This window comes from Homo sapiens, chromosome 2 (genome assembly GCF_000001405.40).
Source record: "Homo sapiens chromosome 2, GRCh38.p14 Primary Assembly".
Lineage (NCBI taxonomy): Eukaryota > Metazoa > Chordata > Mammalia > Primates > Hominidae > Homo > Homo sapiens.
This window is the reverse complement of record NC_000002.12, coordinates 29,236,825-29,256,316: the sequence shown is the minus strand read 5'-3', so window position 1 is coordinate 29,256,316 and position 19,492 is coordinate 29,236,825. Positions and strand designations below refer to the sequence as shown.

Here is a 19,492-nt window from a genome sequence, read left to right as displayed (position 1 = left end):
CCCTTTTGTGAGTGGAGATTACCTCTCAGGTGCCTGAGGTGCAGCCTCCCACCCCAACTCCTTACCCAGGAAGAAGGACAAAACAAGTCAGGAAGCACACAGCTTCTACCTGGGGATCAAGGCTCACCTTGACTCCTCCTGTCCCCTGGAACCACTCTTGCTAACTCTCTTGCCTCTCTGGTTTTAGACCTGCTCACTTTGATCCACAAAGTGGTGCCCATTGCCTTCCACTTCAGCAACACTTTTGAAAATCAACCTAGCATCTGCCTGTCTTCTCATGGTTCTGACTCAACCTGTCTTAGCGTAGAGCTGATCTCATGTCTACCCTACCTGAAGTACCTGCCAGATTCTTCCTGCTTGAAGCAAGAGCCTACCCCTTGGGCAAGGATGTGGAAATAATTAGAGTCTGTCCCCAGCAAGCCTCAGTCCAGTGCACAGCTAAGAGAGGTCAATAGTGTATGGAGCAGCTTCAGAGAGACACTATAGATAAAACAGAATAACAAGAGTCCCCTTATGCAAAGTCACAGGTACCCACAGCTCTGGTGGGTCAATCATGAAAATCAGACTCTGGTATTAAGTAAGGTTCTGAAAAAGACAAGGTGGGTCCGGGACTTATGTAGGGACAATCTGACAAGGCTTGGAAGTCTTCAAGGCAGAAATCTGGGAACGGTTTAATCACCCCCAAAGGACCCTTGGACCGAGAAGGAGGAACCCTCAATTTTGGTTCCTTCTCCAATACTGATAGGCTCAGAAAAGTCACTTCTCCCTAAAATGCTGTTTCTCCACCTGGACAATGAGGTGCAGAAGACTAATGTACAAGTCTCATCGAGTATTAGATTCTCTTGAGAATGCTTTTTAAATGTTTCAAGTATTGCCTTCTCATCCCCACCCAGGATCTACTAAATTTGAATCTCCAGGTCCCTAGAATCTGTATGTGAAAGGTCCTCAGGTGGTTTGGAAAACACTGAATTCAGAGATTGCCAAGGTCCCACTGTGCTGTGACATTCTCTGATGACTACAGGATTGCAGACAGTATGAACAAAGGGAACCAGCAGATGAAGCTGGAGCAGCCCACACATGAGAAGCAGGACAGCCCTCGCACAATGAGCAATACACTCAGAAACTCCACACCCCCAGAGGCAGTGCTGGTGGGAATCATAAATTGATTCCAAGCAACTCTGGGCAGATTTATGAGGGTCAGAGCCATCCAAGGCAGCGAGGACCACCATGCCTTGAAGGCTGCTGGGAGCAACAGAATTCTGGCAAGATAAATCATGGGTCTGACACAGGATGGCAAATCCTCTCTTCCCACAGAATCCACTTTAGAAAGCGTTCCCTCTCTAGGCCCATCCGTCTGAAATCACTGAAAATCAAAACAAAATTTTGTGTATGGAAACCACTGGAGACTAATGTATGTCCACTGAATTGGGAAAGTACAGGTCCCTTTTATTGAGAAATGACCCTGGAGTCCCTCCTTTATGAAATGGAGGACATAAATTTTGAGATTGGATATCTGCTTCCCACAGTGAAAACTTGAATGCAAAGTTACACACGTTTTAAACTGTAGTCATTGTGCATCTCTAATGCTGAATGTTGTACTAAGCACTTTGCCTAGGTCATCGTCTAATTCTCACAGAAAGTCTAGGTGGTATGTCTTACAGTCTCCAATTGTTCACATTTTAAAAACTGAGGCTTAGAGAGGTTGTACAATCTACCTTATGTCTCACAGCTGGCCAGCAGAGACATCCAGAATGAGAACACAGCCTATCTGAATCCAAAGCCTAAGCCCTTCTTCCTCCCTCACCAGATGTCTCACCTTGCCAGAAGTAGAAGCCCAGCATCTCTGGGAATATTTCAGAACCCTCAGAATAAACTAACCTAGGCTGAAGTGGTTCCCACTGAAGGTGAGATGCTCAGGTAGTGTGCCAAGCCCATACCTTTAGATGTCTTCCCTAGCACTCTATTGAGAAGAATACACACACACACATATATGTATTCATATATATATATAGAGAGAGAGAGAGAATATGTATTCATATATGTATTAGTCCATTCTCATGCTGCTAATAAAGACATGCCTGAGACTGGCTAATTTATAAAGGAAAGAGGTTTAACTGACTCACAGTTCAGCATGGCTGGAGAGGCCTCAGGAAACTTACACTTATGGCAGAAGGGGAAGCAAACATGTTCTTCACATGATGGCAGGAAGGAGAAGAATGAGTGCCCAGTGAAGGGGGAAGCCCCTTACAAAGCCATCGGATCTTGTGAGAACTAACTCACTATCATGAGAACAGGATGGGGAAAACTTACCCCATGATTCAATTATCTCCATCTGGTCCCTCCCATGACACATGGGAATTATGGGAACTACAATTCAAGATGAGATTTCGGTGGGGACACAGCCAAACCACAGCTATCTACCTATCTATCTATCTATCTATCTATCTATCTATCTATCTATCTATCTATCTAATATAGATATATGTATTCTTTCATTTTCAGGGTTGAATTAACTAAATAAACTGCCACGCTTCTGCCCTGTGATTGATAAGGCCACCCCCACACCCAGGCTGCTTGCTGTAAGGAAAGCCTGGGTCTGCAGAACAGGTTTCAAGGAACTATAGATAAGGAGAGGAGTGGATTTCACAACTTCTTTTCTGGGGTTTTATTTTTCTCCCTGCCCCCATCCCTCCTCCCCAACCCACTGACTTTAAATTCCCAGGTGCTGTTGGCACGGGATCCATATTCACAGCAACTCCCCTGGCCACATGTCCTGCTGTCCAGGACAGCACCAGCCTTGGGTACAGGCAGGAGTCAAGGACACACTCACATGTTTAGAGTTTGGGACTTAGCAGCGAAATTTCCTACCCCTTTGCTTCTTTTAATATGTCAATCCAGCCTCTTTTACAGACAAAGGAACTAGATCAAGATCCCCTAATCAATAAATGATGAAGCTGCCCCCAAACCCTGGTGTTCATGCTGATTTCAAAGCCTGTGTTCTTTCCACATCACCCCTCGTGTGGTGACGTAGCACAGCCCACACATATATTTTGGGCACAGGAGTGAGTAAAAGGGCAGCTGGTCAAACTAGCTCTGCCAAAAATGCATTCTATAAAGAGTCTGAATTAGCAGGTTTGCCCTCTTTATAATAAAAATAGAGGATGGGCATGGTAATTCATGCCCATAATCCCAGTATTTTGGGAGGCTGAGGCAGGAGGATCGCTTGAGCTCAGGACTTCAAGACTGCAGTGAGCTATGATTGTGTCTCTGCACTCCAGCCTGGGTGAGAGAGTGAGACCCCCATCTCAACAAAAAGTTTTAAAAATTAGCTGGGCTTGGTGGGGTAGGTCTGTAGTCCCAGCTACTCAGGAGGCTAAGGCAGGAAGATTGTTTCAGCCCAGAAATTCGAGGCTGCAGGAAGCCATGATTGTACCACTACCCTCAGCCTGAGCAAGAGTGAGACCCTGTGTCTAAAAAAAAATAAATAAAAAATCAGGAAACTAACAATCAGCCATTCACACCCAAAGTGAATGGCTCCATTACCTTCTAGCCCCTGAAATGACCATCCTGAAACCAAATAGAAATAAACATCTTCCTTTGCAAAAAATAAATAAATAAATAAATAAATGAAGCCCAGAAAAGTGTTGAGGACTCCGTGCTGAGTAGCATATGCATTAGAACCCCACCCAGAACTTCCACCTCCCAGCCTCTGGGCCAGGGCAGCATGACAAAAACCCACGACAACTGGCCCAGTTTTCAGATTAGCAACCCTGCCCATGGCAGTCTCAATCTATTGCTTATAATCGGCAACCCAAGTTAACCTTTCACATTTACGTAATTAAATTAGTGCAGTCTTCAAAATGTTTTCACTTTAATGTCTTAGCAAAATTATGCATGCCCAAATTAATGTTTCCATCATTTTCCTTAGACTAGAACTTAATCTCTCTTTTAAGGGAATTTCTGCAATCTTATGAGATTTTTGTATTTTAAGTAAAAGTAGTTTATCAACAACACCTTTTTAAAAGTTTTTATAGGTTGTAAAAATGTTAGAATTTTGGCCAACATGAGATCTGACAACTCCCCAAGGTTTGGTCTGGCTCAAAGATAGAAAGTTTGAAAGGAAATGGCCCGCGGGGGGTGGGGGGGTGCAGTTTGTGCTGAGTGTTCCTGTGTTGCCCCCAGAAAGCCACCTAGGGACGTTGGGTGGGACACAGAACACCAGGAATGGGTGAGGGGGAGCTGGGAAAAGGAGGAGCATGCACCAAAGACAAAGTTGACCTGTTTTTCCATTTTTTATACTCTGTTGCTTGGAGAGCCTGAAAGCTGTCTTCGTTGCATTTCCAAATGCAAGCTGGTTTTAATAAGGAGCCTGAGCCCTGCCTTGCTGCAGGTCTGTTAGGGAGCGTCTGACAGGCAGGCCAAGCCATGGCCAGGGAGTGCAGGGCTTCCTGCTCCCACCACCAGCCTGGGTCCCTGAGCCAATGTAGCATCACCGAGCTTTCAATTCTCTTTTTCAATTGTCTCCAAGCTAAGAGGCTCCTATAGGCAATGCTGAGCCTTTGGGAGCAGGTTAGTTGCAGTCAACTATAGCACAGATTGAGCACCTGTTGTTTGCCCAGCACCGTGCTAGGCTCGGTGAGAGACTGGGAGAGGACCCAGCTACTGCCTACGCCTGTCCCACCTGCAGGGGCCTTCTCCCCTTCCTGGAACTCCCCTAGCGCAGTGTTGGCTGGGCCCTCCTGTGGCTTGCTATTCTTGCTGTCCTGGCCTCCCTTTGGGTCTCTCATAGTAGCCTGTAAGCTGCTTAAGGCCAGGGTCCATCTTAAGTCTGCCCCATCTTTGTCTCTGACTCAGGGTCTGGCACATAGTAGGCTTTCTGTGGAAGTTTCCAGTTCGATGGCTGATTGGTGTTTCTTGCCCTGACCTTGGTGCCATCTTGGATGGAGGGTTTGGGGCCATGGAGCAGATATCTCAGAGGCCACCCAGGGAGGCCCCTGGAGGAGGGAGGGCCTGGCCACATGAGTGACTGCCTCTCCTCTTGTGCCACAGTTCATTGGCTGTTCACCACATGTGGGGCCAGCGGGCCCCATGGCCCCACCCAGGCACAGTGCAACAACGCCTACCAGAACTCCAACCTGAGCGTGGAGGTGGGGAGCGAGGGCCCCCTGAAAGGCATCCAGATCTGGAAGGTGCCAGCCACCGACACCTACAGGTGCGTATGGAAGAGGGGGAGGGGAGGGGCAGACCACCCCTTCCGAAGAAGCCTGGAGTCTTGCCTATGGGTGCATGTTCCTGGGGTGCCCAGGCATGTCAAGGTTCAAAGGCAACAGACTCAGGCCCATAGGGGGTATAAAGGTTGGAGATGGGGAGATTTGGGAGAGTGAAATATGGCAACAAAAGAAGATGTGTCCTTTGTCCTCAAGAAACTCACAGGCTGTTCGTGGAGGTGATATGCATGCATGAGCTAGCTTCAGAATTATTGCTAATAAGGATAATTATGGTGGCCTGTTCATTGAATATTGCTTAATGCTCTTCAAATGAGGCATGCATGTAAAATGTTTGGGAAACAGAAGCACAATGCACCTGAAAGCTGATGCTCTTATCCTTGCGCCTCCTTTCCTGGGCCTTCACTGTTGGTAAGAGAGCAAACTGTTCTGGAACGCTCCTCCCAGCCCCAACCCTACCCCAGCCCCCAGTATTCCCTTAGAGCAGAGCCAGGCTGGAACGAGATCCAGCTCCACTTGGCCACTTTGAGGCCATGGCATTGAATGAAGCTAATGGTAAGACTGGAGGGCTGGTGGAGACCCTGATTGCAAGACCCCCTCCTGCAGCATCTGGTTCTGCAGGTCTGGAGTGGGGGCTGAGAACTGACATTTCTAACAAGTTCTCGGGTGGTGTCAATGCAGCCTTTTAGAACCTCTGAGCTCGATCAAGTCTTGGACTTAAATAAACCTGGGTGGCCCCCAAACGAGCTCTATGACTAGGCAAGGCCAGTGCTGCCATCCTCGTTTTACAAATGAGGACACTGAGGCTCAGAGAGTCAGGAGCCTCCCCACAGTTACACATCCAGAAGCAGCCTCCACCTCCAGAGTTCTGGGGCAGGGCCTCCCGTGGCTCCACCATGGAGCATGGCAGGGCAGGTTAAAAGGAAAGCAAAACCACTATGCCTTGTGGGAACAGTGTCCCCCAGGGCTGAAACAATAGGAAATGAGCTCGCCTCCTCTCCCCGCAGCCTCCGGGATCCACAACATCCTGGGCCTCCTGGGAAGGAGAGGGACTTCTCAAGTTGCCCTGTTTTCTCTCTCCAGGTTAACATTTCTTGTGGCAGCCCCATCCCTGGGGCCTCAGGGTAAATGTGTTACGGGGACAGCCCTAAGTGCTTTTTAAATGGCACTCCGGGCAGAAATGCTATAACGAGATTTGGCTACAATCAGATTAGCTGCTACAGTGCCCACACACCCCCAGTAAATATCCCGGAAGACACCGGACCACCCCTGGCCCTGCTACACCAAGCAAGCCAGACCTCCCCTTCCTGCTGAGCCAAGCCTCCGTGGGGCCCAGGGCGGGGAGGAAAGGACTCCTGGAGAGGAGGAGAGGAATGCTTGCTAAGGACCCACAGGTGTTGCTCCTGTATGAGCATAGGGTGGGTAGCATTATTATTGGTGTTCCCATGTTTCCAAGGGAGAACTCTGGAGTCGGAGGAGCTTAGCAACACATGTAAGGCTGCACAATCAGTGATGGAGCTGGGATTCAAACCCAGGGTGCTCTGGCTCAAAGTCTGTGTTGTTTCTACTAAAGCCCATGCCTGGACTCTGGGAGGCATGCAGAGGGCAGAAGGGACAGGAAAGGAAGGAGGGCATAGGAATCACCCACCACCCACCTCCTGGAAGCCTCTGGAAATGAGAGGCTATGAGAGGGGCCCAGCCTCCTGAAGGGATATTGGGCAACACACCCCGTATACAAAAAGCAATATGAAGAAGAAAGCAGAGGCGCTGGGAGGCGCACAGGAAACCCAACAGTAAGCCCCCAGCGGAGCCCATTGTCCTACCCCTGCCCAGGGCAACTCCAATGCCAGCTTGGCCAGAATTCCCCTGCTCCCTGTCCCACAGAGGGGGACAAACTCTCAGGAGATCCCTTGAATGGGGATTCTCTTGGGCTGTGTTCCCCCGAGACAGTGTGAATCAAGCTCACTTCCAAACTTGCACAGGTCAGCTAATCTCTTGAGACTCTGTTTTCCCATCTGTAAGTGGCAGGGGCTGTAAAGGTGACATATAGTGCCTGGCACAATGCTTACACGTGGTGGGTGCTCCCTGGCCCATGGGTGGAGAAATCAGCTGAAGCAATGCTGCTATGCAGCAGCAGGCAGCAGGCAGGCAGTGTTTCCAAGAACACGCCGACCCCATACGCGGTAGTTTCTGACTTTTCCTGTCTCCAAAGACTTTTCTCTGACTTCCTCAGATGAGCCCTGTATTCTGAAAAATTTGGACTGCCAGATGAACTACACTTATTAAATAATAATTAATTCATTTTCCCATTTATTATTAATCACAGCCATATCTAAGTCGAGTCAGGTTTCTGATCTGCATGAAGTGCCACATTATTTCCACAGTGCATTCATAGAATCCCAGCCAAAATCAGAAAGCTGTCTCCACTCATCTCTTTGAAATATTGAGACTGAGGCCAGCTCCGGGCCCCAGCACTGTCTGGCGATTTTGCCTCTGTTGAAGCAGGACATTTCGAAGTGTCCAAATTAGTAAAGGAGGCATTTTGGTCTGGCCTAAGATAGGACCATATCAAAATGGAAGAACCAAAACCAAAAGCCGCTCAGTTGGGGTTTTTGTCACTGCTGTTTTTGAGACAGAGTCGCGCTCTGTTGCCCAGGCTGGGGTGCAGTGGTGCCACCTCAGCTCACTGCAACTTCCGCCTCCCAGGTTCAAGCAATTCCCCTGCCTCAGCCTCTCGAGTAGCTGCAATTACAGGCATGAGCTAATTTTTGTATTTTTAGTAGAGACGGGGTTTCACCATGTTGGCCAGGCTGGTCTCTAACTCCTGGCCTCAAGTGATCCTCCTGCCTTGACCTCCCAAAGTGCTGGGATTATAGATGTGAGCCACCACACCCGGCCAGTCACTGTTGTTTTTGAATACTTATATTTTAACCAAATAAAGGCTCTAACAGATATTCCTGACCCTCACCTCCTCCTTGGCCTTGGAAGAGACTCAGGTCTTAGATGACCTGAGTCTATTGGTCACATAACTTAGTAATCTAAGAAGCAGACAGTTAATGATTTGATTTTTAGACCACTTCAAAATGTCCCCAAGTCAGAATATGACTGAGAAGTCAGCAACCTTTCTCTGAAAGACTTTTTCTCCATAGTAATTATTACTATTTAATAAGTGCAGTTCATCTGTTGAAAAAAACACAAGATGCACCAGAGGACGTGAGAAAAAGGTGCTTGGAAACAGAAAGGTGGGAGCCGAGCCCTAACGAACCCACCCATCCTGGAGGCATGGCTGCCACCGAGGCCTGGCACTGGGACGGCTCCACTGACTTCTCTGCCCACTGCTGGGGAGGTGAAGGGAAGGGAGCGAATGCTACCAAGCCCCAACTTCATGCCAAGGGGGGGCCACCATTGCCTGGGGCCTCCTCCAGGATGTACACAGTTGGAAACACCCCCACTCTTAGCTGGTAACTTATCCTGGGCCCACCTCCCACCCTCTACAGCTTTGCCCACCTCCACAAAGGAAGAGGCCCAGAAAGAGGGAGAGGAAGGGGGTGCGGGGCAGGCAGGAGAAGACAGCAGGCTGGCATGGGGGCTTGGGTGCAACCCTGGAACCCCCATCTCCTCCACCCACCATGTCCTGCCTTCCCTGCCCTGGACTTACCCCTTCCTCTGAGAGCTGATGCAGTCTGTGTGTCCAGGTTCCTGGGCTTCATTCTCCCCCTGCTCTGCAGATCTCAGTGACCCATAGTAAGCACCAATTAGGATGCTGTGCCTGACACCAAGTGTGCAAAGGTGATGAAGATCCAGCCCTGCCCCAGAGGCCCTGCTGCCAGTGGTGGTGGTGGTGTGTGCACAGGCATCTCCGTGGGGTGTAGGGAGAACTACAGTGGAGGTTTCCACAAGGCGCTGCCGCGGAGGCCGGGGGAAAGGCGCTGCCGCGGAGGCCGGGGTAAAAGGCGCTGCCGCGGAGGCCGGGGGAAAGGCGCTGCACTCAGCTGAGCTTGTGAATGGCTTCTGCCAGGAGAGGGGCACCTGGGTTAAGTTCGAAGGCCCTAAGCATTGTCTACAAAAAAGCGGGTGGCCAGAGCCTGCGGTGAGCACAAGAAGTCGGTACTGCCGATGAGAAGTCGGGCAAGGCTGGCCTCGGGGAGCCGAGGCTGGAGGCAGCAGGGCCAGGTCCTGGGGCTGCAGTGTTACCCCCCAAAAGGCCTCTCGCTCCCCCTGGTGAAAGCATGAGGGTGGAAGTGAGAGAAACGGCCTGGAGGTGGGGAGAGCAGTTGGAAGGGAGTCACTGTCACTCAGGCCATGGTCAAAAGGACTGAGCCAGGACAGGGGAAAGATGGCAGGGGAGGGTCAGGTGCAGGGGACAGGCCCAGAGGTGCTCAGGAGGTGGGATCAGCGTAAGTTGAGGACTGAGTGAATGTGGGGTCGGGTGCAACGCTGGGACTACATCCACGCTCTGGCATGGACTGAGGAAGCGAGGACAAAGGAGCGCAGCCACTCTCCCACGAGCTTGGCTGAGAACAGGCAAGGCCAGGGCAGCAGCGAGAGGGGCCCTGATCAGGAGGCCTCTGGGCCGTGGTGCTGAGTAACCATGGTGTCTAGAGGGTGGGTGGCTGGAGCGGATGGGAGAGTGGGAGGCCACTGCAGTGCCATGAGAAGAACGTGGATTATGGGGTTTGTGCTGGGGAGGGGGACAGCATCCTCGTGTTGTCATAAAATGGAGACAGATGATGGCACAGCCCAGCTCTGAGAGGGCTGTTGGGGGACTCAGTGAGAGCCCACGGGTGGCCTGCCACAGGCAGAGGCGCCAGCACTCAGCCCAGCCCGCCCCCTCTCTCTCCCTGACTTCTTTCCTCCTTCTTCCCTCTCTCCCCCTCCAGCCTGCCTGCCTTCCTACCTGTCTAGGACCAGCATCCTTCTCAGCCCGCAGTCCTGCCCCCATCTCCTCCCCACCCACTACCATACACACACAGATCGTATATAACACCATTTGTCAAGCATGGCCCATAGCTCCCGAAGGCAGTCGTCCCACAGCTCACCTGCTCTTCAGACATAATGGACAAGAGGCCCCAGGTCCCAGCTGGAGCCAACTGACCTTGGGCCACAGCTGTTCCTGATGGTCTCTGTCAATGACACTCATTTCCTCACCTGGGGCACCAGCGTGTGCAGCCGGACAACGCCATCATTCAACTCCACAAATAGCCATGAAGCCCTACTGTGTGCAGGGCACTGAGCCATGGAGCCCCAACTGTGTGCAAGGCACTGAGCCATAGAGCCCCTACTATGTGCAGGGCACTGAGCTATGGAGCCCCTACTGTGTGCAGGGCACTGAGCCATAAAGCCCTTAGTGTGCAGGGCACTGAGCCATGGAGCCCTGCTGTGTGCAGGGCATTGAGCCATAAAGCCCCTACTGTGTGCAGGGCACTGAGCCATGGAGCCCCTACTATGTGCAGGGCACTGAGCCATAAAGCCCCTACTGTGTGCAGGGCACTGAGCCATGGAGCCCTGCTGTGTGCAGGGCATTGAGCCATAAAGCCCTACTTTGTGCAGGGCACTGAGACATGGAGCCCCTACTATGTGCAGGGCACTGAGTCATAAAGCCCCTACTGTGTGCAGGGCACTGAGCCATGGAGCCCCTACTACGTGCAGGGCACTGAGCCATGGAGCCCCTACTACGTGCAGGGCACTGAGCCATGGAGCCCCTACTGTGTGCAGGGCACTGAGCCATGGAGCCCCTACTGTGTGCAGGGCACTGAGCCATGGAGCCCCTACTGTGTGCAGGGCACTGAGCCATGGAGCCCTGCTGTGTGCAGGGCATTGAGCCATAAAGCCCCTACTGTGTGCAGGGCACTGAGCCATGGAGCCCCTACTATGTGCAGGACACTGAGCCATAAAGCCCCTACTGTGTGCAGGGCACTGAGCCATGAAACCTTGCTGTGTGCAGGGCACTGAGCCATACCGCTCCAACTGTGTGCAGGGCACTGAGCCATGGAGCCCCTACTGTGTGCAGGGCAGTGAGCCATACAGCCCCAACTGTGTGAAGGGCACTGTCCCATGGAGTCCTACCACGTGTCAGGCACTGAGCCATAACACTCCTACTGTGTGCCAGGCACTGAGCCATGGAGCCCTACTGTGTTCCAGGCACTGACTAGACTGGTAGAAAGGCCTGAGACTCTGGAGCCTCACAGTCTCTGGAAAGACCACAGGACAGAAAAGTTTAATAACAGTCCACAATGCCAGTCAGGTTCTAGACAATAGTAGGAGAGATATCACAGGCATGATTAATTGCCAAAGTAATTGTATGGATAGCCATCGCTATAAAGGGCACAGACCAGGGAATGTCAGAGATGGAGGAATTAGGAAAAGATGGATGGGCTGCAGGCAGAATTAAGTTTGAGTTCAACCTCCACCACCGATGCTCCATGTGACTTAGAAAGTTGTCTTCCCTCCTCTCCACAGGCTCCATCTGCAGAGCGAGGGGCTATAGAGCGAGGTCACTGAGGTCCCTGCAAGCTCAGGTGTTTCAAGGCACTTAGGGCTACACTGGCCAGGAAGGTGCTAAGGGAGAAACAGACCATGAACCTTGCTCACTGATGCAACAGGAGTGGAACCTGGGCCGGCCCCACTGAGAAGCACCTGCCTCCACAATTGGGCCCTTCAACCCTGACTCCTATCTGGATAATACAACTATATACCTGATCAGAAATCTCCCGCTGACCAAGCTCCGTCCACACTCACACGCGTCATGTGTCATCACAATAACCCTGCAGGGTGGGTAGGACAGACCTCACCATCCTGATTTCACAAATGAGGAAACTGAGAAACGGGAGAAAAGGGCCTTGCCCAGGATCCCACGGGGAGTTAAAGGCAGAGCCCAGAGCAGGATGCCACTCTGCCGCTCCTCCAGAGGGTGTGCCGGAAAGGAATGGGGTGCTTCTGTTTTTCTGAGCGGCAGTCCACTCTCTCCCGCAAGATCCCCCCGTGTGTGTGGACACTGTGGATGTGCTACACACCAGCTGTGCTCTCATTTCAGGATCCGGCAGGCAGCCTCTTTGATTTGCTGCTAATTCTTTATTTAAAAAAGATTCACAACTCAATTACATCAGGTAACAGTTTCTAATACAAAACACAAACCCAATAAACATCTCTTCTGACCAGGGGACATGGATTTAGATGAGGAAAAAACAAAAAATTACAGCATCAGCTCATTGAGAGCAGTATCTTGTAATTTCCAGTAAATTGGAATCACTGCAAGTCATTTTCCCCACTTGAGTGGCAGGTATATTAATTTCTTGTTGTTTCTCAACCATCAGAAATAAATTGTTTACAAGGGATGGGAAGAAAGCTTCAGAGAGACAGGCTGAGGCTATTATCATAGCATGAGTTTGTGTAACGTGATTCACAGGGTGCAGGGGTCTTCAGAAGAGCTAAGGCTGCCCTGTGCTTTACACAGAGGTGGGCCCTGGGTGAAACTGAACAGCCTTGACCCCAAGCCCCCTTGGCCATGCCCTGGTTCGCCCACTTGGTCCCCTTCTGCCTCCCAGAAGTCACCCCCGGAAAAGGAGTGGACAGGCTCACCCATGGGGGCACATGATGACAGCAGCTGCCATTTGTCACTCACTGGCTACCCTCTGGGCTCTGAAGTAGGTCCCTTATAAGCATCATCTCATTTAATTATCATAACAGCCTTCCAAGGTAGGTATTATTATCCCCTTTTTATACATGAGGAATCTGGGCTCAGAGCGGGGGTAAATAATCACCCAAGGTCTCACAGCTAGTGAGTAACACTGGCAGGGCCAGGACTGGGGAGAGGTAAGCAAAGCACCTTGGGCAGAAAATTTAAGGAGGTGCTTCTTCTTGGGGTCAGTCGAGTGCAAGGTCCTCCCTGGGAGGGAGGCACCTCGCCGGGCTCAACCTACTCCTGGCCCTGAGTGGCAGAGCTGGGATCTGGATCCAGGTCTGTCTGCATTCAAGCCCTTGCTTTTCTACCTGTGGCACATCCCACTCCTAAGGCAATCAGTCCTGTAGTAGCAACTAGAAGCTTCCAGAGGAGTGAAGCTCTAATGGTGGAATTTCAGGCTTCAGGGGACTGATGAGGGAGCTACTCCTTCTAGGACTCCTGCAATTATTTCAGGTAGGCAGCTGCCTGCTCCCCCTGACTTTAAGCCAGCCCCTTGTCTGGGTTGGAAATGTGGGGCTGAGGCCACCACCCAGGAAAGTACAACCCAGCCACAGAAACCTGCTTGCCAAGCTCTGCTGTCTACTTTGGAATCTAGAGAGCTGACCCCAGCCCCGGGTCTCGCCTTGTGCTTTGCATGGGTTTGCAGTCTTCTCAAATTCGCTTTGTATGCCCATGAGAGCAGGGGTTCTTGTCTTCATTTTCTTCCTCAGTAGTGGACGTTGAGGCTCTGAGAAATTGACCATGTTGCCTCAGGTCACACAGCCAGAAGAACGGGGACAAGAACCAGCAGATGACTTGGAGCCCTGGGCTTTTTCCATCCCACCCCACCATCAAGAACTAGGTCAAGACATAGATGGGGCTGGCTCTCAGATGTGGTTGAGGGGAGCGGGGTGAGAAAAATAGCAAAGAAGGCTTAGGAAGGGTAAAAGGAGTCAGGAACAAACAACGTCTAAAATATAATAATTTGGCTAAATTTAAACATACGAAAGAGTTCAGAATGATTCATAATGCATGGTTGATGCAAATGACTATGCAAATGATGCCAAAAGGAATGGGCAGCATGACGCTTACCTCTCAACCACAGCAGGAGTGGGTAGGATGAGGACTTTGTCCTGGGCTGAAGTTTTCCAAGCAAACCACATCTTCAGGTGGAGATGACTTTTTTATGCAGCCTGACCAGGACTCAGAAACCTGGGGCAGTGAGCAGGACAGAGTTGGGGCCCATCCACACTGCTGTCCCTAGACTACAGGAAGCCGCCACATCGTCCCCTGCCCAGGTTCACTGAGCTAAATAATGCTGCTTCCTCTTACCTTTCACCAATAAGCCTTCCTTTTTCTCAGCCTTTTAATTATTGTTATCACCTTGTCCATTTCTCATGGATCAGGAGGGAGTGTTTGGCTGAGAGTCTGGGAATTAGGAGGGGCAAATAGCTTCTCAGACCCCTCTCTTTGTGCATCCCAGCAGCACATTGGGGAGGAAATGACCTCTAAGAGGGGATGTGCAAGGGTTTGGACCATAGCCAGCCACTGACTGGCTGTGTGGCCTCAGATGAGTTACTTAGTCCCTCTGAGCCTCAGTTTCCTCATTTGTCAAATGAGATTAATAACATTTGCCGTTTATGGCTATTGGGTGATGCCGTGTGCCTGTGAGCATGCATTGTGCCTGGCACATTGGAGGATGCTGGTAATCAGCCCACAGCCCTCTCCAAACCTACAGCCCTCAGCTTCCCCCTCCATCCACCTGCTGCAGCCAGACATACTTGAGGCTCCCTGCTTCTTCACTTCCGTTCACACAAGCCCCAATTCCCACCACCTCTTTCTGCTTGTCTCAGAGCCCTACCCATCTGCAAGCTCCATGTGAAGCCAACATCAGCCTTCCTCACCCCATCACCACACCCCACAACCACCTGTCGCAATCCCCCATCTCCCTCCTGGCCCTAAGCACCTGACGACCCTTATTTTGGCCAGAGATTTGCAGCTTCCCCGGGGCTTTCACCCATGAGCTCCTTTTGTTGGACTATCATGTTGTTTGGAATGAAAATGATTCTTCTCTTACTAGGAAAGGGGCTGGGGCTCAGAGAGGGCACAGGGGCAGGAAATGGCCCCACCTGATCAGGGAGCCCGGGAGCACTCCACTTTGCCTCCTCAACATAGCCACCCTATGGTGAGACTTCTCTTTTCATCATGAAGATCGTCTCCTCAGTTTCTTTGTGAGCTCTTGAAGAGCCTGGAGCTATCTCAGGTTCACAACGCCTTACACCGCTCCCAACATTCAATAAACTCCCATCAATGCCCAGGCACTCACCAGGGCAATGGGCACTAGATTCTCCATTTGCATTCCATGAAGACCTCAGTTCCTTGCCTGCCATGTTCGCAAACAGCCTCTGCAGAAGGGCCGTGGGCTCTGCCTTGTGAGAGCTCCGGGAGGCCCCTCACACACTTGGAAGAAGGGACATTTCCTGGAACTGTAGATAAAGGAGCTACTATGTGCACATGGGCAAAACTGCCTTGCATCTCTTCCTGGTTTTTTGTAAAAGACCTTGGATCTGAATACACATGGATGTGAAAGTCTGCCGAGTCCCATACCCTGGCAGCTGGTCCCTGGGGACACATTTGTTAGCTGGTGCGTTAGCTGTCTTCAAGACATGCCGCTCTTCTGATATGGTTCAGAAGAGAGTTCTTTTCTCCCCATCCTTGCTTGACTTCATTGCAGCAACCTAAGAGGCAGCAGAAATCATCTCCCATCCCCACACTCTGTTTTTATTTTCATCATGATGGGTTGTTTGTTTGCACACATATTTCTCCAGGAGGAGTTACCAGTGAGATGGGAATAGACAGTCGGCTCATATACACTGCTCTCCTCAGTCATTCTGTGAGGAACCTCCTTGTTTCCAGACCCCATGGGGAGACTTTACAACTTTGTACCAAGTCAATTATGGCTACTACCGTCATTAATAATAATAATAATTAACTAATACTAATTGAGTGCTTATTACATGTCAGCCACAATTCTAAGACCACATGTCTTAATTTCTTTAATCCTCATAGCACATGTAGGCTAGGAGGCAAGTTCACTTATTATCCCCATAGTATAGATGAGGAATAGGGAAGTTACTTGTCTAAGGTCACATGAGTCCATTGATCTGGGACAAGGAGAGAAAACCATAATGAGGAAATCCTAGGTATTCAGAAAGCCATCACCCCAATATGCCACATTCATATAGTCTCCTCTCTCTCTCTCTCTCTCTCTCTCTCTCTGCTGTTTCCCTCTCTCTCTCCCCTCCTTCTCTCCCTTCTTCCCTCCCTCCTCCCTGCCCTTTTCCTCTCTTTCTCTCTTGCACCCTTTACTAGTCTTTCACCTTCTTAGTTCTGTGACTGAGGCAACTCCCTGTCCCTCTCTAAACTTGATCGTCCTTTCCTGAAGTGGGGGAGAAGAATCCCTTTCTGCAGGGACTGATATGGGGGAGAACCCTCAGACCACGATGGCGATGTGCTTAGCCCACTGGAAGCTGCTGGGTTGGCAGGAAGGGGGACAGTCTTCATACCACAGCGGGAGCCAACGTTCTTTGTCCCATTGCAGCATCTCGGGCTACGGAGCTGCTGGCGGGAAAGGCGGGAAGAACACCATGATGCGGTCCCACGGCGTGTCTGTGCTGGGCATCTTCAACCTGGAGAAGGATGACATGCTGTACATCCTGGTTGGGCAGCAGGGAGAGGACGCCTGCCCCAGTGTAAGTGCCCAGAGCAGGGGTTTCTCGTCTGCACTCTGTCAGGCCCCGGGAAGGCCTCTTGGAGGCACCAACACTCAACACCCTCCTCCTGGAAGTTCATACCAGGAGAATGAGACAGCAAAGAGTAATTAAACAGCAGCTTTGCAAACTCCCAGCACCCCAGTGGTTCACCTCTTGCCTGTGCTAGGGGGAGGCAGGACCTGGCAGAGCTGGCCATCCTAGCAGGAACTCAGCACCCTGCCAGGTGAATCTCCTGGTTGGGCCAGGCTCCCCCCCTCCCTCACCTGAAGCACAGCTTTTGCTTGGGAAAAGGGGCCAAAGCAGACAGCTATGTTCTAGCACCCAGGACCCCCAGCTCCTTCTCCAGAAACTTATTTGAGAACATCCTTGGCAGAGAGATATGGGAAGAGGGGCTACCGAGAAAGCAGTTTACTTCCACAAAATAAATTCAGGGCTCCTAAGAGCCAGGCCCTGGGCTAGGAGCTGAGGAAGCATGAAAAGTAAAGTTCAGTTTTTCCCTTCTGCTCCTTCGGGGTTAAGGTGAAACGACAGGAGTAAGCTTAGCAAGTGCAACCTTTTGCATAAAAAATGTCTCAACTCCAACTTTTATTTAGCAACTATAATTGGGACTTTCCAACCTAATATAATATATTAAGCCATTAAATTACAGGCTGCTATAATTTTCACGGGAATTTATTGAGTGCTAATGTAATTCCTTCATCTAAGCAGAAAGATTGCATTATCTTCTGCAAGGGACTTTCACTTGATTGGACTGTAATCAGTTATGTCTTTTCACGGGACCGCGTCTTTTTTAAAAATTCAATTGAAATCTAGTTGTTCCTCGGGGTTGCTGCACTTTATCATTTTTATTAATCAATCTACTAGCTCTCAAACTTTGTGGATGCACAGGAAGTTCCCAAGCAGGCAGGAGGAGGCGATTCTGGGCCAGGAACAGAGGGCAGCTCACTCTGCTGGTTGGGCAAGGCATAGCAGGGGCATGTGGGGAGAGTGACTGGTCTTCGCTGTGGCTTCACATCTCCACCTCTGAGGAGGCACTTGGAAAGGGGGAAAAATGGCGGTTGTCAGGCACTACCTCCATCTCCAGTTCTCACTAGGCAGAAAAAATGGTGTCTAGACACAATTCTCAAGATAATGAAGTGGACTCTAAGAATTAAACTGCAGGGGCCGGGTGCGGTGGTTCATGCCTGTAATCCCAGCAAGTTGGAAGGCCAAAGCGGGAGGATCACTTGAGGTCAGAAGTTCGAGACCAGCCTGGCCAACACAGCGAAACCATGTATATACTAAAAATACAAAAATTAGCCAGGTGCGGTGGTGCACACCTGTAGTCCCAGCTACTCAGGAGGCTGAGGCACGAGAATCACTTGAACCCAGGAGGCAGAGGTTGCAGTGAGCCAAGATCGCACCACTGCACTCCAGCCTGGGCAACAGAGCAAAACTCTGTCGCAAAAAGATTAATAAATAAAAAATAATTAAACTGCCGGATGTGGCAGCTTTGCTGGTTCAACTGCACATCTATGGGGGCAGCGGGGAGTTGCCCTTCTATGTACCCGGCCACACTGGAGCTCCTGTGCTGGAAATGGGCTCCAGCTGCTAGAATCCTCCACCCCACCCCCAAACACAGCACATGTGCACATACACAGCCCTCCGTCTTTGCTTCTCCAGTGCCTCCCAAACCTCGCCTGGTGGCATGAGTCTAAATCAGGCTTTCTCAACAGTGGCATTATTGGCATTTTGGAGCAGGTAATTCTTTGTGGCTAGGGGCGGGGATCTGTCCTGTGTATTACAGGATGTTTAGCAGCATCCTTATCCTTTACTCACTTGGTGCCAGTAACAGCCCCCAGAAATGACAATCACAAAAGCCTCCAGACACTTCCAAATGTCCCCTAGGAAGCCAAGTCTGTTCTAAATGTTAAATTCCACCATTACCATCCCCTGCAAGGCAAATATTGTGAAGAGCCAGCCCACAATCCAGACAGCACTCAATTCATTCAAATTTATTTAACCAATATTTATTGAGTACCTACTTAATGCCATCCCTGTTACAGGAACTTGGGATATATTGGTGAACAAAAGAAAGATCTTTGCTCTCAAGGAACTTACATCTGAGGAGAGGGAGGGGGAAATATCTGGGGAAACAGTGACCCCAGCAAAGGCCATGTCCCAGAGGTTCATCGATGCTCAAGGAACACTCGGGCTGGAGGAGAGGGAGCCAAAGGAAGGGTAGGTAAGAGATAAGGCAGAGGTAATAGGGCTGGATCAGGCCACTTTAAGGCATGTTGGAGCCATAGGAGGGTTTTGAGGCAAATGGTGACATAATGTGGTATGTGTGTTAAAAAGCTCACTCTGGCTGCAATGTGAAGAATCTACCATAGAAGAATCTATGGACACAAGGGAAGGGTCAAGACAATGAATTCAAGGGCTATGGCATTAATCCTGGCAAGAGATGATGATGGCTTAGACTAGGATTGTAACAGTGGAGGGGATGAAAAGTGGTTGAATTCTGGGTGTAATTTGAAAGTCAAATCCAAAAGGATTTTCTGCCAGATTGAATGAGAAATTAAGAGAAAGAAAAGAGTCAAGGATGACTCCAAAAATTGTGCCTGAGCCACTGGAAGAAGGGAGCTGCCATCACCTGAGTTAGGGAACACTGTGGAAGGAGCAAATCTGGGGGCAAGATCAGGAGTTCAATATCAGACATGCTGAGTTGTAGAGGCCTGGTAGACAGCCACAGGCAGACAGGTGGACGATGGGAGACAGGCCGCTAGAGTTCAGGAGAGAGGTCCAGGCTGGGGATATAAATATTGGAGAAATTAGCATAAATTTGAGACAGGATG

General features: G+C 50.4%; 1 protein-coding gene across 2 annotated transcripts in view, besides 2 other annotated features; it reads left to right on the top strand.

Moving 5' to 3' along the window:
* Positions 1-19,492, top strand: part of ALK (ALK receptor tyrosine kinase) — a 728,813-nt gene that overhangs the window by 665,270 nt on the left and 44,051 nt on the right. For both annotated transcript variants that reach the window (XR_001738688.3, NM_004304.5), the window contains exons 12-13: positions 5,050-5,212; positions 16,487-16,637. Coding sequence is in view for 1 of the 2 variants with exons in the window: in NM_004304.5 (NP_004295.2) it covers positions 5,050-5,212; positions 16,487-16,637 (314 nt within the window). In the remaining variant the exon portion in view is untranslated. The remainder of the gene's footprint in view (positions 1-5,049; positions 5,213-16,486; positions 16,638-19,492) is intronic.
* Positions 4,157-4,656: an enhancer, noted in NCBI's record as "H3K27ac hESC enhancer chr2:29474527-29475026 (GRCh37/hg19 assembly coordinates)". NCBI's record gives its function as "activates a minimal SCP1, AML or CMV promoter by ChIP-STARR-seq in naive H9 embryonic stem cells {active_cell/tissue: H9 hESC(naive)}" and the evidence as "EXISTENCE:reporter gene assay evidence [ECO:0000049][PMID:30033119]".
* Positions 4,657-5,158: an enhancer, noted in NCBI's record as "H3K27ac hESC enhancer chr2:29474025-29474526 (GRCh37/hg19 assembly coordinates)". NCBI's record gives its function as "activates a minimal SCP1, AML or CMV promoter by ChIP-STARR-seq in naive H9 embryonic stem cells {active_cell/tissue: H9 hESC(naive)}" and the evidence as "EXISTENCE:reporter gene assay evidence [ECO:0000049][PMID:30033119]".